Below are 15,955 nucleotides of genomic sequence, written 5' to 3' on the forward strand. Positions count from 1 at the left end.
GGTGTGGATGTCCTTTTTGTTGATGTTGATGCTATTTCTTTCTGTTTGTTAGTTTTCCTTCTACCAGTGAGGTCCCTCAGCTGCAGGTCTGTTGGAGTTTGCTGGAGGTCTACTCCAGACCTGTTTGCCTGGGTATCACCATCAGAGGCTGCAGAACAGCAAATATTGCAGAACAGCAAATATTGCTGAGTGATCCTTCCTCTGGAAGCTTCATCCCAGAGGGGCACCTGCCTGTATGAGGTGTCAGTCGGCTACTGGGAGGTGTCTCCCAGTTAGGCTACATGGGGGTCAGGGACCCACTTGAGGAGGCAGTCTGTCTGTTCTCCAAGCTAAAACACCATCCTGGGAGAACCACTGCTCTCTTCAGAGCTGTCAGACAGGGATGTTTAAGTCTGCAGAAGTTTCTGCTGCTTTTTGTTCAGCTATGCCCTGCCCCAGAGGTGGAGACTACAGAGGCAGTCAGCCTTGCTGAGCTGTGGTGGGCTCCACCCAGTTCGAGCTTCCACAGCCACTTTATTTACCTACTCAAGCCTCAGCAATGGCGGATGCCCCTCCCCATGCCAGGTTGCTGCCTTGCAGGTCAATCTCAGACTGTTGCACTAGCAGTGAGCAAGGCTCCATGGACATAGGATCTGTCGAGCCAGGCACAGGATATAATCTCCTGGTGTGCCATTTGCTAAGACTTTGGAAAAGCGCAGTATTTGGGCAGGAGTGTCCCGTTTTTCCAGGTACCATCTGTCACGGCTTCCCTTGGCTAGGAAAAGGAAATCCCCTGACTCCTTGCGCTTCCCAGGTGAGGCGATGCCCTGCCCTGCTTCGGCTCACCCTCCGTGGGCTGCACCCACTGTCCAACCAGTCCTAGTAAGATGAACCAGGTACCTCAGTTGGAAATGCAGAAATCATCCGTCTTCTGCGTCGATCACACTGGGAGCTGCAGACCAGAGCTGTTCCTATTTGGCCATCTTGGAACGGAATCCTCAATGAGATATTTTAAGAAGTTAAAAAATATTTGTAAAGAGCATCTGAAAAAAGAAATATGTAATATGTTTAAGAAATTTTTGAAAAAGATCATTGATAAGGGGAAATGTTCTCTTACATATATAAAAACACACAATGACTACACTACTCTGGGTTTCCTGGAAAACACACAAACACACACACACACACACAGACACACACACAAAAGATAAATCAATCAACGAAATAGAAGAGGTATCACAGAAACAGACCCAAGTGTTGAAAAATTGTAACATATGATAAAGATGAATTATAAATTATCAAGAAAATGATACATTGTTGAAGACTGGTGCTGGGACAATCGACAAGCTGAAGAACTGGTAAAAATGGAAAAACTGGGGGAATAAATAGTATCCCACCATAAACCACATACCAAATTAATTCCTGATCAACTAAAGAGCCAAATGTAATAAATGTAAATAAAATAGAGCCAAGAGTAAATAAATCAAAAGCTAGAAGAAAATATAGGTGACATTTAATTTTAAGATGAATAGGAAATTGAAGATAAATAGATTTTACTATAAACTTTTAAAGAATTCTGTACAACAGAAAATCTTAAAATTAACTCAAGTTGGAAAAGTATTAACAAAAACATACTGGACAAAATTACCATCCTTTGTACATATGCATCAATTTTTGTAATGCCCACTAATACTCCAGTTAAAGCAAATAGGGCTAAGTACATAGCCTTTGGAGACAAGTGTTCCAGGACCTGATGCTGGGTGTGTCACTTCTCTATCAGCTGTGTGACTTTGAGCAAGTTACAGTCTTCCCTAAAACTCAGCTTCTTCATCTGTAAAGAGGGATGATAACAATTCCATTTGGGTGGGGATTACATGAGACAATGCATACTGTGTTTGGCTCCATACCTGGCAAAGATGTCCACGTTTTTGCTATCTCTCATCTTACTCATGTCCTCACACCCCTTCTTGGCCAGCTTAAATTCCATGCTTAATCATCATAATCATCTTCCTTGCCCCTTTCTTATCTGCCTTGCTTTTGTGGGAAACTATAAAGCTGGTTAAATCTAACCTCCCTCCTACTTCTTGCTAGCACCTGCATAGCCAAATGTAGATGGAAAATATATTCCATCTGACTGGTTTCACTTTAAACTGACCATCAGTGACTTCAAGAGGATCCTAATTGCCCTGGTTCATTCTCTATCCTGGAAGACCTTCTTTCTCTTCAGAACTCCATCACCTCCTCCCCCATGATCACCCTCAGCTGTGCCTTGGCTTCCTATTTCACCTAGAAAATAGAAGCAATGGAGAGAACCTCTACAAGCAGCATAATCCACCAGCCTAACTCCATCTGTACCCACACCCTCTGTCTTTTCTCCCGTTTCTCCTGAATGGTCTCTCCTCCCCGCTGGAGTGCAGTGGCTCACTGCAACCTCTGCCTCCCAGGTTCAAACGATTCTCATGCCTCAGCCTCCGAAGTAGCTAGGATTACAGGCATGCACCACCATACCCAGCTAATTTTTGTATTTTTAGTAGAGACAGGGTTTTGCCATGTTGGCTAGGCTAGTACTGAACTCCTGGGCTCAAGTGATTGGCCTGCCTCAGCCTCCCAAAGTGCTGGGATTATAGGTGTGAGCCACTGTGCCCGGCCCCAGCCTTATATACTTCTTACCCCTCCCCCACCCCCTACTCCCTTACCAACAGCAGAAAAGTAACATGATGTAATTGAGATAGCCCTGACTACTATGCTGAGAGTAGATTGAAGGGGCGTAGGAGCAGCCTTAATGAAGAAGGATTGGCTGGGGGCTAACAGAATACAGGCAAGAAACTGGATTCTACATATGTTGAAATTATGGCAAAAGACTTTATTGACAGATTGGATGTGGAGTACGAGAGGAAGAGCAGCCAGGAAAATAAAGTTTCCATTTACTGAGTTGGGGAGGACTTCAGGAAGAGCAGATTTGGGATGAAATTAGGAGCACATGTTGCTCTAGCAATTCTCCTGACTCCCCCATCATAAATCTTTTCCCTCTCTACTGGATCTTTCCCATTCAGTATGCAAAGAGGCTGTAAAAGCTCTCTCTTGACCCAGTTTCTGCTGTCAGCTCCTGCCCCATTTCTCCCTGTCCCTTAGCAGTGAAACTCCTTGGAAGATTGCTATATCTACTTGCTACTTTCAACTTTGTTCTTCCAATTTTCACTTGGCCCCACTACAATTAAGCTTTAGCCCTCACCTTTCACCAGAGCACCTCTATCAAGGTCCGCAGTGACCTGCATGTTTCTGAATTCAATAGTCAATTCACAGTCATCATCTTACCTGACCTCTCAAGGCATTTGACAAACTCATTTCTCTTTCATCCTTGAACTGCTTTCTACATGACACTTGCGCCAGGCGTGGTGGCACACACCTGCAGTCCCAGCTACTTGGGAAGCTGAGGCAAGAAAAACACTTGGACCCAGAAGGCAGAGGTTATAGTGAGCCGAGATTGTGTCATTGCACTCCAGCCTGAGTGACAGAGTGAGACTCTGTATCAAAAAAATCAACAAAAATGACACTTGCTTGGTTTTCCTCTTACCTTGTTGGCTGCTCCTTTACCATCTAGTGTGCTGGTTTTTCTTCATCTCCGCTACTGCCCAAAATTGGAGTGCCCAGAACTTAGTCTTCAGTCCTCTTCCTTTTTAAAAAATCCAGTCTCATGATTTAAATATCATCTCTGCACTGATGACCACCAACACATAGAGAGAGTGAACTCCAGGCTCACATAATAACTGCCCACTTGATATCCTCACTTGGATATATAATAGGTGTCTCAAACATAACATGTCAAATTTAACATGTGCTCCTAATTTCATCCCAAATCTGCTCTTCCTGAAGTCCTCCCCAACTCAGTAAATGGAAACTTTATTTTCCTGGCTGCTCTTCCTCTTGTACTCCACATCCAATCTGTCAATAAAATCTTTTGCCATAATTTCAACATATGCAGAATCCAGTTTCTTCCCTGCATTCTGTTAGCCCCCAGCCAATCCTTCTTCATTAAGGCTGCTCCTACGCCCCTTCAATCTACTCTCAGCATAGTAGTCAGGGATATCTCAATCACATCATGTTACTTTTCTGCTCAAAACCTTCCAATCGCTTCCCATCTCAGTCAGATTTTTTGAAAGCCCAAGTCCTTACAATGGTCTATAAGTAGAATGATTACACGTCAGAGTTTGTCCAGCACAGTCCTGGCTTCTCTCCACTGAACTAGTGTTAACTTTTTTTTTTTTTTTTTTTGAGACGGAGTCTCGCTCTGTTGCCAGGCTGGAGTGCAGTGGCATGATCTCAGCTCACTGCAACCTCCGACTCCCTGGTTCAAGCAATTCTCCTGCCTCAGCCTTCTGAGTAGCTGGGATTACAGGCATGTGCCACCATGCCCAGCTAAATTTTTTTTTTTTTTGTATTTTTTAGTAGAGAACGGGGTTTCACCATGTTGGCCAGGATGGTCTCAATCCCCTGACCTCGTGATCTGCCTGCCTCAGCCTCCCAAAGTACTGGGATTACAAGCGTGAGCCACGGCAACCAGCCCTAGTGTTAATGATTAATAACCCTCACCTCCAACTTTCATTCTAGAAGTCTCCTAATTTGGATGACAAATTATATATGGCAATAACCTACAGGTCACATTTGACAGTTTACTTTAAAAGTAAACAGCTTCCAAATTAACCCATCTTGGGAAGGTCTTGTGATTCATGGCGATACCTTGTCCTGAGTAAGGAATCTTAGAAGTTCCTCAAATTGTTGATGTACTGATCAATGCACCACCTACTGACACTGAAAAGGACACTGATTTATTTCTGAGTCATAACATTTTACTGATTGTCTTGCATGTAGACATGTTAGTCTGCATGTTGCAATCTGTAGCCAATTATTGTAACCTTTGTATTGTACCCTCCAGTGAAAAAGGACAACTCCTGTATGAAGAGTCCCCCTCCTGTCTTCTAACTTTCCAACTTGTAACAGACTCCAGAACACTCTCAACTTTGTTGGTGTGTTTTCCTGGGTTCATCCTCACATTTGGCTTCCAATAAACTTTTATCAAATCATTTCTGCCTCAACAGCCTTAATTTCATTTGACAGTGGTCATCCAGTTTATAGGGCCCTACTCTAATCTTCATGCCCTCCTTTAGCTCGCTGACATCATCTCTTATTACTCTCTCCATTGCTTTCTTCATTAAGGCTACCAAGGCTTTGCTATTCTTTGAACATACTAGACATGCTTCTCTATTAGATACTTGTTCCCTCTTCCTAGGAATGCTCTTCCCAGCTATCTACATAGCTTGTTCTCTTACTTCCTTAGTGTCTTGGCCCAAATGCCACCTCCTTAATAAACCCTTATCTGACCACACTATTTAAAATTGTATCCTGTTCTCTCTCTGAACTAACTTTATGCATCCCTGCTTCATTTTTCTCCTGCTTCATTTTTCTCCATGGGACTTATCACTCTCTGACATCCTGACTAATTTACTTCTTTGTTGCATTTATTGTCCTTCTTCCTCCACTAGACTGTAAGTTCCATGAGGAGCACTTCTGTATTCTCAGAAGTTAGAATAGTACTTGGCTGGTCAAATGGTTGTAACCAGAATGCTGATGGTGATATGGAAAGTGAAGGCGTGGCTGATGAGGTCTCAGATGGAAATGAGGAACCTAGAAATGGAGCAAAGGCCACCCTCATTATGGCCTAGCAAAGAACTTGGCTGCACTTTGTTCATGCTGTAAGGATCTGTGGAAGTTTGAACTTCAGAGTGACAACTAGGGTATCTGGCAGAGGAAATTTCTAAGCAGCAAAGTGTTCAAGAAGTTACATGGCTGCATCTAACAGCTTAACTCAGATGTGAGAGCAAAAAAAATGACTTAAAGTTAGAAGTTATATTTAAAGGGGAAGCAGAGTGTAAAACTTTAGAAAATTTGCAGCCTGGCCATGTGATAGAGAAAGCAGAAGCATTTTCAGTAGAGGAATTCAAGCAGGCTGTGGAGCAACCACTTGCTAGAGAAATTTGAATAACTAAAAGAGAGCCAGGTACTAATAGCTAAGACAATGGGAAAAAGGCCTTGAAGGCATTTCAGAGATCTCAGGGGCAGCCCTTGCCATCACAGGCACAGGCCCAGAGACCTAGGAGGAAGAATCATTTCATGGGCTAGGCCTAGGACCCCATGGCTCTGCACAGCCTCCTTAGGACAGTGCTCCCTACATCCAGGCTGTTCCAGCTCCAGCTGTGGCTCAAGGGGCCTCAGGTACAGCTCAGGCTGCTGCTCCAAAGAGCAAAAGCCATATGCTTTGGCAGCTTCCATGTGGTGTTAAGCATGCAGGCATGCAGACTGTAAGAGTGAAGGAGGCTTGGCAGCCTCTACCTAGATTTCAGAGGATGTACAAGAAAGCCAGGGTACCCAGGCAGAAGCCTGCTGTAGGGGTGGAACCCTCACAGAGAACCCCTACTAGGGCAGTTTGGAGGGGAAATGTGGGGTTGAAGGCCCCACACAGTCTCCACTGGGGAACTGCCTGGTGGAGCTGTGAGAAAGGGGTCACCACCCTCCAGACCTGAGAATGGTAGATCCACTGGCAGCTTGCACCCTGTGCCTGGAAAAGCCACAGGCACTCAACTCTAGCCCATAAGAGCAGCTGTGGAGGCTGTACTATGCAAACTACAGGGGCGAAGCTTCCCAAGGCCTTGCGAGCCCACTTCTTGCACCAGTGAGCCCTGGATATGGGACACGGAGTCAAAGAAGATTACTTTGGAGCTTTACAATTTAATAATTGCCCTGCTGGGTTTTGAATTTGCATGGAGCTTGTAGCCCCTTTCTTTTGGCCAATTTCTCTTTTGGAATGGGCATGTTTACCCAATGCCTATACACCCATTGTAACTTGGAAGTATATAGCTTGTTTTTGATTTTATAGGCTCATAGGTGGAAGAGACTTGCCTTGTCTCAGATGAGACTTTGAATTTTGGGCTTTGGAGTTAACATTGGAATGAGTTAAGACTTTGGGGAACTCTTGGGAAGGCATGATTGTATTTTGCAACTTGAGAAGGACATGAGATTTAGGAGGGCCAGGGGCAAAATGACATAGTCTGGATATTTATCCCTGTCCAAATCGCATGTGGAAATGTAATCTCTAATGTTGGAGGTGGGGCCTGCTGGGAGGTGTTTTGGTCATGGGGGCAGATCCCTCATGGCTTGGAGCTGTCCCCACCATAATAAGTGAGTTCTTGAGAAATCTGGTTGTTTAAGGGTGTGGCACCTCCCCCCACCTTGCTCCTGTCTTTACCATGTGACACACCTGCTCCCCCTTCACCTTCCACTGTGAGTAAAAGCTCCCTGAGGCCTCCCTAGAAGCTGAGCAGATGCCTAGTGCCACACTTCCTATACAGCCTGTGAAATCGTGAGTCAATTAAACCTCTTTTCTTAATAAATTACCCAGTCTCAGGTATTTCTTTATAGTAATGCAAGAATGGCCTAACACACACTGGTTCTACAAAAAAAAAAAAAAAAAAAAAAGGAAGAAAAAAATTAATTTAAAAAAATTAGCAGGGTGTGGTAGCATGTGCCTGTAATCCTAACTTCTTGGGAGGCTGAGTTGGGAGGATCCCTTGAGCCCAGGAGTTCGGGGTTGCAGAGTCATGATCATGCCACTGCACTCCAGCCTCGGGCACAGAGTGAGACCCTGTAGCTAAAAATATAAAATAATAAAATAAAACCAGTATATGAGTGTTAATCAAAGAATGAGTGAATAAATGAATGAATAAAGTGAGTTTTTAAAGCGTGAAAAATAGCCAGGTGTGATGGCTTATGCCTGTAACAACAGCACTTTGGGAGGCCAACACAGGAGGATCACCTGAAGCCAGGAGTTTGAGATCAGCCTACCAGCCTGGGCAACAGAGCAAGACTTCATCTCTTTAAAAAAAAAATAAACATATATACGTATGTAATGGCGGGGGGCTGGGGTGGTGGTGGGGAGGCATGAGAAAAAGACCAGAAGAAAGTAGGCTCAGCTGGGCACAGTGGTTCATGCCTGTAATCCCAACACTTTGGGAGGCCAACGTGGGCGGATCACCCAAAGTCAGGAGTTGGAGACCAACCTGGCCAATATGGTGAAACCCCCATCTCTACTAAAAATACAAAAAAATTAGCTGGGCATGGTGGCGTCTGTAGTCCCAGCTACTCAGAAGGCTGAGGCAGGAAAATCACTTGAACCTGGTTGCAGTGAGCCAAGATCACACCACTGCACTACAGCCTGGGCAAAAAGAGCAAAACTGTCTTAAAAAAAAAAAAAGGCCAGGCGCATTGGCTCACACCTGTAATCCTAGCACTTTGGAAGGCTGAGGCGGGCAGATCACATGAGGTCAGGAGTTTGAGACCAGCCTGGCCAACATGGCGAAACCCCATCTCTACTAAAAATACAAAAATTACCAGGGCATGGTGGTGGATGCCTGTAAGCCCAGCTACTTGGGAGGCTGAGGCAGGAGAACTGCTTGAACCTGGGAGGCAGAGGTTGCAGTGAGCCGAAATCATGCCATTGTACTCCAGCCTGGGCAACACAGCAAGACTCCATCTCAAAAAAAGGAAAAAAAGAAAGAACGTAGACTAAGGTATTAACAGTAGGTATGTTTGGATGGTCAGATTATAGATGACTTCTGTTTTATTTTTTCCAGATTTCCATACTTTACAAATGCTTCATATATTACTTTTATAATCATAAAGCAGTTAAAAAATAAAAACTTACTGAGTGTTGACTAAGTGCCAGGTCTTCAGAAGCATAGATGAAGAGCATGAAGAATGCAAATTCATGCATCAGGCTGGGCATGGTGGCTCAAGCCAGTAATCCCAGCCCTTTGGGAGGCCAAGGCAGGTGGATCACTTGAGGTCAGGAGCTCAAGACCATCCTGGCCAACACGGTGAAACCCTGTCTCTACTAAAAAAATACAAAATTTAGCCAGGCATGGTAGCGGGTGCCTGTAATCCCAGCTACTTGAGAGGCTGAGGCAGGAGAATCACTTGAACCAGGGAAGCGGAGGTTGCAGTGAGCCAAGATCACACCACTGCACTCTAGCCCGGGTGACAGAGTGAGACTCTGTCTCAAAAAAAAAAAAAAAAAATTCTTGCATCAGTGGGCTTAGTCTAGCCTGGTTATAAACTCCTGCTTGTGGCCTTAGCAACTTGCCCAGTGCTCCCCTGGGGCTTAGCCCTGTGGAGGCTGAAACCCAGGTCAAAGTCATGTTCTCCAATCCAGAGCTGGGTGTCTCTCTCACTTCCTTTGAGCAGCAATCACCTCTACCCTGATTTAGACCAAGCCAAGCTTGCTATGCTGAGGTAACTTAGCTTATCACCAAGGTTATATTTAACAGACTGCTGAAAGGATTATAAAAAATTATGGGGATTTGAACTATCACCCAATGCCTCCGTCTGTTGACACAGACAAGTTTAAAGCTTGATTTTGTGAACCTTGAGATGATCTTCCTCCAGCACTGCAAATGTAATCCTTCTCATCTAAAACTCCCATTCTAATGCCCTACTGTGCTCCTGCCCCTGCAGAGCCCTCCAGCTCACCCTCCTGCAGTTGTCTTCTCTGTGACTGAGTCCTCTGCAACACATATTCCATTGTAGACATGCAACTCTCCTCTTTCAAGTACATCCCTGGTTGTTCTCTCCATCTCCTTTCCTTGATAGAGATCTGGCTTCTTTCTGAGCACTCCACTAGCCTCATGGCTCTGTCTCTCAAAGGAAGGCTACTCATTTTGCACTATCCATGATCCTGGAAGACAAGAGCTGAGCAGGCTCTCAGCATTCTCCTTGCTTCCCACTGCCATTTCTAAATCATAACTCCTTCACCTTCACATACATAAAAGACCTGCTCAGGTTTGTGCTGTGCCCTCCTGGTTGCTGTTACCAACATCTGCCTGGTTGGTTATCCACATTCTGTGAGCTCTCTGACACCCAGCCCAAGGTGCTGGTGACTTTTGTGCTCAGGAAGATGAGTAGTGCTACACCTTAGCCTCGCAGTACTTGACCTTCACCTATACTTCACACTCTTGCTGCTGAGGACACACCCTGGGCCTCTCATCAGTCACAACAGCTCCATCTCACTCTAGGACCTTTGTTTTCCTCCCAACTCTTCAGCTCTCACCTGATATCATTTCCTTTCCCTTTCAGTTTATACCTTGTGATCCCTCCAGCCCATTCATACTCTTGCCACTACCCCAGTCCTTTTGTTTACTAGTCTTGCAAAGGCTAAGCTCACAATAAGTCAAACCATTTTACTCTTCACTCTCAATCCAGGATGCTGACTTAAGATACAAGAAAGAAGGGGGGCTGTTGATGGGTGCAAGGAAACATGGGTTGAGAGAGTAACAAGTGGGCTGAGGGTCCAATTGTGATTGGAAATGTAAATGTGTCAAGACACCAACTCACATGGTTGTGTGATTTCCTCCAGTGACCCAGGGTAGGAGTACAGTGACCAAATGGTTGGATTTAGGGCCTTGCAGTAGAGGTGAATGGAATGATAAGACAACGAAGGAACTGAGATAGACGGAAGCAAAGGGCCATAGTAGTATCTAAATTGAAGAGGAAAGGGAGTAAAAGCATAACTTCTGTTGGGCCTAGTATGTACACTGTATCCATCTACTTTCTTTTTCTTTATTTGGGGTATATGAGAACCTGGCACAGTGTTAATAAGACCCAAGTGTTCAGAAGAGAATGCAAGCCAGGCTAATGAAGGTGGCAGGAATAGCACCATCTCTCCTGGACCATTCACCACACACAAATGTGACTGCGGTGACATGGAGATCTAAAATGATCTAATGCAGCCAGTTGGTAAGGGCTCAAGGCTAGATTTCATCTTTCAGGGTAATGAGATGTAGCATCAGTAATTGAGAGTGCAGGCTTGAAGGCAGGGGGCTACAATCCAAGAACACCAGGGGATTCCTGAAACCTCAGATAGTACTGAACACTATATATACTAGGTTTTTTCCTATACATACATACATACGTACCTAAGATAAAATTTAATTTATAAATTATGCAGAATAAGAGACTAACAATAGCTAATAAAATAGAATGATTATAACAATATGCTGTAATAGAAGTCATGCAAATGTGCATCTCTCTCTCAAAATATTTTATTGTACTGTACTCACCTATTTGGTTTACCCAGTTGGCCGTAGATAACTGAAACTGCAGAAAAAAAAAAAAACTGTGGATAAGGGGGTATTAGAGTTTTCCAAAGAAACCCAACTAATAGGATTACAGATATAGGTATAGATCAATAGGAGGAGATTTACTATATGAACTGGCTCATATGATTACAGAGGCTAAGAAGTCCCATGACATGCTATCTGCAAGCTGGAGAACCAGGAAAGGTGATGGTGTAATTCAGTCCAAGTCTGAAAGACTGAGGGGAAAAGGGTAAGGTGTAAGTCCCAGAGTCGGGAGATCCAAGAACATGGAGCTCTGATTTCCTGAAGGCAGGAGAAAATGGATGTCCCAGCTCAAGAAGAGAGAGAATGAGAGAATTTGCCCTTCCTATGCCTTAAAAAAAAATTTTTTTTTTTTTGAGACGGAGTCTTGATCTGTCGCCCAGGCTGGAGTGCAGTGGTGCAATCTCCACTCATTGCAACCTCCGCCTCCGGGGTTCACTCCATTCTCCTGCCTCAGCCTCCTGAGTAGCGGGTACTACAGGTGCCCACCACAACGCCCGGCTAATTTTTTGTATTTTTGGTAGAGACGGGGTTTCACCATGTTAGCCAGGATGGTCTCGATCTCCTGACCTCATGATCCGCCTGCCTCGGCCTCCCAAAGTGCTGGGATTACAGGCATGAGCCACTGCACCCAGCCAAAAAAAATTTTTTTAAAGAGAAAGGTCTTGCTATGTTGCCCTGGCTGGCCTCAAACTCCTGGGCCCCAGCATCTTCCTGCCGCAGCCTTCCAAGAAGCTGGAACTATAGGCACATCCTCTGACTTTTTGTTCTGTGTGAGCAGGAGTCCTCAGTGAATTGGATGATGCCTGCCCACATTGGTGAGGGCGGACCTTATTTGCTCCGTCTACTGATTCAAATGCTTGTGAACCTCTCCGAACACATCCTCACAGACACAGACACAGACACAAATAATGTTTTACTTGCTATCTCATAAAATTAACCATCATGCAGACAGACCAGACCTCTAATATGGACCTACCACATGCTAACTATAGCAACTGGGTAAATTACTTTACTTCTCTTTTGTTTCTTTGCCTGTAAAGTGAAGACAAGAATATCAATCGCGTAAAGCTATTGTGAGGATGAAATGAGGTCATGTACTATTGTTAGTATTATTCTTGTAATAATACAATAGCAGAGCAAATTGATACTTGCCCAGGACCTCCTAATTTCTGCCTTAACCTGGCATCTAGCTTAGAACACATTAACATAGTTAATAACTTATATTATCCAAATTTAACTCAGCCAAGACCTCCTGATCTCCTTCGATGGAATTTTACTCTAAGATGACTGTATTCCCTAGGGAAACCTATGTGTTCCTATATGACTTCTCTCCTGGGTGATTCTGTCCAGACCCATGGCCTTAAATACCATCTATATGTGAATGATTCCCTAATTTATATCTCATTCTGATCTCTTTTATGACCTTCAGACTCATATATCCAGCCGTCTATTTGACATTTTGACTTGGATGTCTAATAGACATCCCAAAATTGCATTTAAAATAAAACTCTTGCACAGGCAACAAAAGAAAAAATAGAAAAATTGGGCTACATCAAAAATGTAAAACTTCTGTGCGTAAAAGGATATAATCAATAGTGAAAAGGCATAGAATGGGAGAAAATATTTGCAAATCATGTATCTGATAAGTGGTTCATATCCCAAATATGTAAAGAACTCCTACAATTCAACAACAACAAAAAAAAAACCTGATTTTAAAATGGGCAAAAGAGTTGAGTAGACATTTCTCCAAAGAAAATATATAAATTGCCAATAAGCACATGAAAAGATGCTCAACATAATTAATAATTAGGGAAATGCAAATAAAACCACAATGAAATACCACTTTATACCCATTAGGATAGCTTCTGTAAAAAAACAAAAACAAACAAAACAACAACAACAGCAAAACCACAGAAAATAACAAGTATTGGCGAGGACGTGGAGAAACTGGAACTCTTGTGCACTGTTGGTGGGAATGTAAAATGGTACAGCTACCGGGGAAAACAGTATGGCAATTCCTTAAAAAAATTAAACATAGAATTACCACATGATCCAGCAATTCCACTTCTGGGTATATACCCAAAGAATTAAAAGCAAGTACTCAAATAGATACTTGTACATACATGTTCACAGCAGCATTAGTCACAACAGGCAAAAGATGGAAGCAACCCAAGTGTCCATCAGTGGATGAATGGGTAAACAAAATGTAGTATACATATATAATGGCATATTATTCAGTCTTAAAAAGGAAGGAAATTCTGACATATGCTACAACATGGATGAACCTTGAAGACATTATGCTAAGTGACAATAAAAGCGAGTCACAAAAGGACAAATACTATGTGATTCCACTTATGAGAGTGGTCAAATTCATAGAGACTTCTGTATTATAGAAGGGTTTTCGGGGCTAGGGTAAGGAGGGGAGTGGGGAGTTAGTGTTTAATAGGTACAGAGTTTCAATTTTGCAAGATGAAAAGAGTTCTCTACAGATGGATGATGGTGATGGTTGCACAATGTGAATGTACTTAATGCCCTTAAGAGTGGTTAAAATGGTAAATTTTATGTTATGTGTATTTCACCACAATTTTTAAAAAGCAAAAAATAAAAATAAAAAACTCTTAATTTCCCAAACCCCCACCCCATCAAATCTCCCCATTTCAAAAACAAACATGAAAAGCTATAAAGTTGCTCAGGCTAAAAATCCAGGAGTCATCCTTAATTTCCTTCCCTCATGCCCACATCCAATAGTAAATCATGTCACCTTTTTCCTCCAAAAATATTCTGAATTCATCCATTTATCTCTTCCACAGTTACCACTCTAGTTCAGGCCATCATAAGCTCTTGCCTATAATGCTGCAATGCTTTCTAATCAGTCAACCTGCTTTCATTCTTGTCCTCTACAGTCCCTTCTCTATATAGCAGCCAGAATGTTCCTTTTATGCTAGAAGTAAGACCTTATGCTTTTCTCTGCCTGAAAATACTCTGATAGGCCAGGCACGGTGGCCCACACCTATAATCCTAGCACTTTGGGAGGCCAAAGTGGGCAGCATTCAAGACCAGCCTGGGCAACATGGCAAAATCCCATCTCTACAAAAAATACAAAAATTAGCCAGGTGTGGTGCGTGTAGTCCTAGCTTCTGGGGAAGATGAGGTGTGAGGATCACTTAAGCCCAGGAGGCAGAAGTTGCAGAGAGTCAAGATCATGCCACTGCACTCCAGCCTGGGTGACAGTGAGACCCTGTCTCAAAAAAGAAAAAATATTCTGGTAGTGTTCCATCTAGAATAAAATCCAAACTCCTTGCCACTATCTACAAGGCACTAGACAATTTGGCTTCCATAAAAACTGGCCTCCTGCCAATGTCTCTGACTTATGTTCCAACATTACTCACTTTGATCACTATGTTCTAGTCACGCTGGTCTTCTCTCCGTTACTTAGTCACCCCGAGCACATCCCTTACCTCACAGTCTTTGTACTTGCTGCTCTTCTGCTTAGTACACCTGCTTCCCAGATCTTCACATGACAGATTCCTTCTCGTCCTTTGCCTCTCAGCTCAGATATCACTTTCTCAGAAACATGTTCACTTACCATTCATCTAAAGCAGCTACCCAATGACTGTCATTCTATACCATTACTCTCTTTTCTTTCACCTTGGCAATTACCACTACTTGAAGTTTGTATTTATTTGTACAAGTTTATTGTCAGCCTCTCCATCCTCCAAGTAAAATACGAGCTCCATGAAAACAGATAGCTTGTTTCTTTCCTCAGTTCCCAGAACTCGGAACAGTGTTTGGCACACATCAGTCTATTCATATGTTTGCCAAATGAACGAAGAAGTAAAAACCACTAGTGACCCAATTTTCCTGCCATGTCATATATATACATAAAAGTCTTTTGGGAAAACTCATATTTCTATATTGGCCCTCACTAATGTCTTTTCCATCTATTCTAGAATGCAATAACCAGTCTTTAAAATGCAAGCAGAATATTTCACATTTCATTTTTGCAGGTATCTCTGAGGGGAATGAATTTACATTTCTACTACCACAAATAGGATGGTCAAGTTTGTTGCAATGCAAAATTTTTTCTGTGGAATTCAAAAACTGTCCTGTACCTCTTGAAGCCGAATTGTGGGGTTTCACATTGGAAATTACACTCATCTAAAGAAACAGTCTGGACATTTAAGTCCTTAAACAGTTGTTCAAAGTATTTTATTACATACTTTTTCTAGTCTTCAGAATGTTTCAAGGTCCATTGTCTTCATGGCTAGTTACCTGTCTGTCCAGGCCAAACAAACTGGAGTTAAAATGCAGAATCACATAACAGCAGAAATGTGATTTCTCATTCTATTGTGCAATCCAACAGAATTGTGCCAAGTCTTGCTAGGCTGACGCTGCTCTACTCTGCCCAAATGCCAATATGCATTGGGGTGATGACATCCCACTTGGGATATTGTCTGATGACACAGACAGACTTCTCTGTTTCTCCACTCTTGGGTCATATAATTCAATGTTCTGGGGCTGAGGCAAATAATGTCTTACAGTGATTTTGGCAAGAAAAAAACAGCTATTTCAGATTTTGTTCAAGTTCCCCTAGTCATGTCAGACCCCATTGACTTCAGTAGGGATGGCACCATGTTCAAGAGGCTGAAGAAGAGACCTAGAACCAGAAACTGAGACATAAGGTTTATTGAGGGGACTTACAATACAGGGCAGTCCAGTGGCAGTGGGCTGGGCAGGAGAACCAAAAC

The 15,955-nt window shown here is 43.1% G+C and overlaps 1 long non-coding RNA gene across 1 annotated transcript in view, besides 2 other annotated features; it reads right to left on the minus strand.

Annotated features, from left to right (window-relative positions):
• The window catches only part of MIR3936HG (MIR3936 host gene), a 58,641-nt gene that overhangs the window by 37,660 nt on the left and 5,026 nt on the right, over positions 1–15,955 (minus strand). Inside the window, exons 4-5 of the long non-coding RNA NR_110997.1 lie at positions 11,145–11,181; positions 880–1,022 (exon numbers count right to left, since the gene is read on the minus strand). This is a non-coding gene — a long non-coding RNA (MIR3936 host gene). The remainder of the gene's footprint in view (positions 1–879; positions 1,023–11,144; positions 11,182–15,955) is intronic.
• Positions 5,774–6,386: an enhancer, noted in NCBI's record as "NANOG-H3K27ac hESC enhancer chr5:131690402-131691014 (GRCh37/hg19 assembly coordinates)". NCBI's record gives its function as "activates a minimal SCP1, AML or CMV promoter by ChIP-STARR-seq in primed H9 embryonic stem cells {active_cell/tissue: H9 hESC(primed)}" and the evidence as "EXISTENCE:reporter gene assay evidence [ECO:0000049][PMID:30033119]".
• Positions 9,339–9,388: an enhancer, noted in NCBI's record as "active region_23067". NCBI's record gives its function as "activates an Ori minimal core promoter by ATAC-STARR-seq in GM12878 lymphoblastoid cells {active_cell/tissue: GM12878}" and the evidence as "EXISTENCE:reporter gene assay evidence [ECO:0000049][PMID:35858748]".

This window comes from Homo sapiens, chromosome 5 (genome assembly GCF_000001405.40).
Source record: "Homo sapiens chromosome 5, GRCh38.p14 Primary Assembly".
NCBI classification, from domain to species: domain Eukaryota; kingdom Metazoa; phylum Chordata; class Mammalia; order Primates; family Hominidae; genus Homo; species Homo sapiens.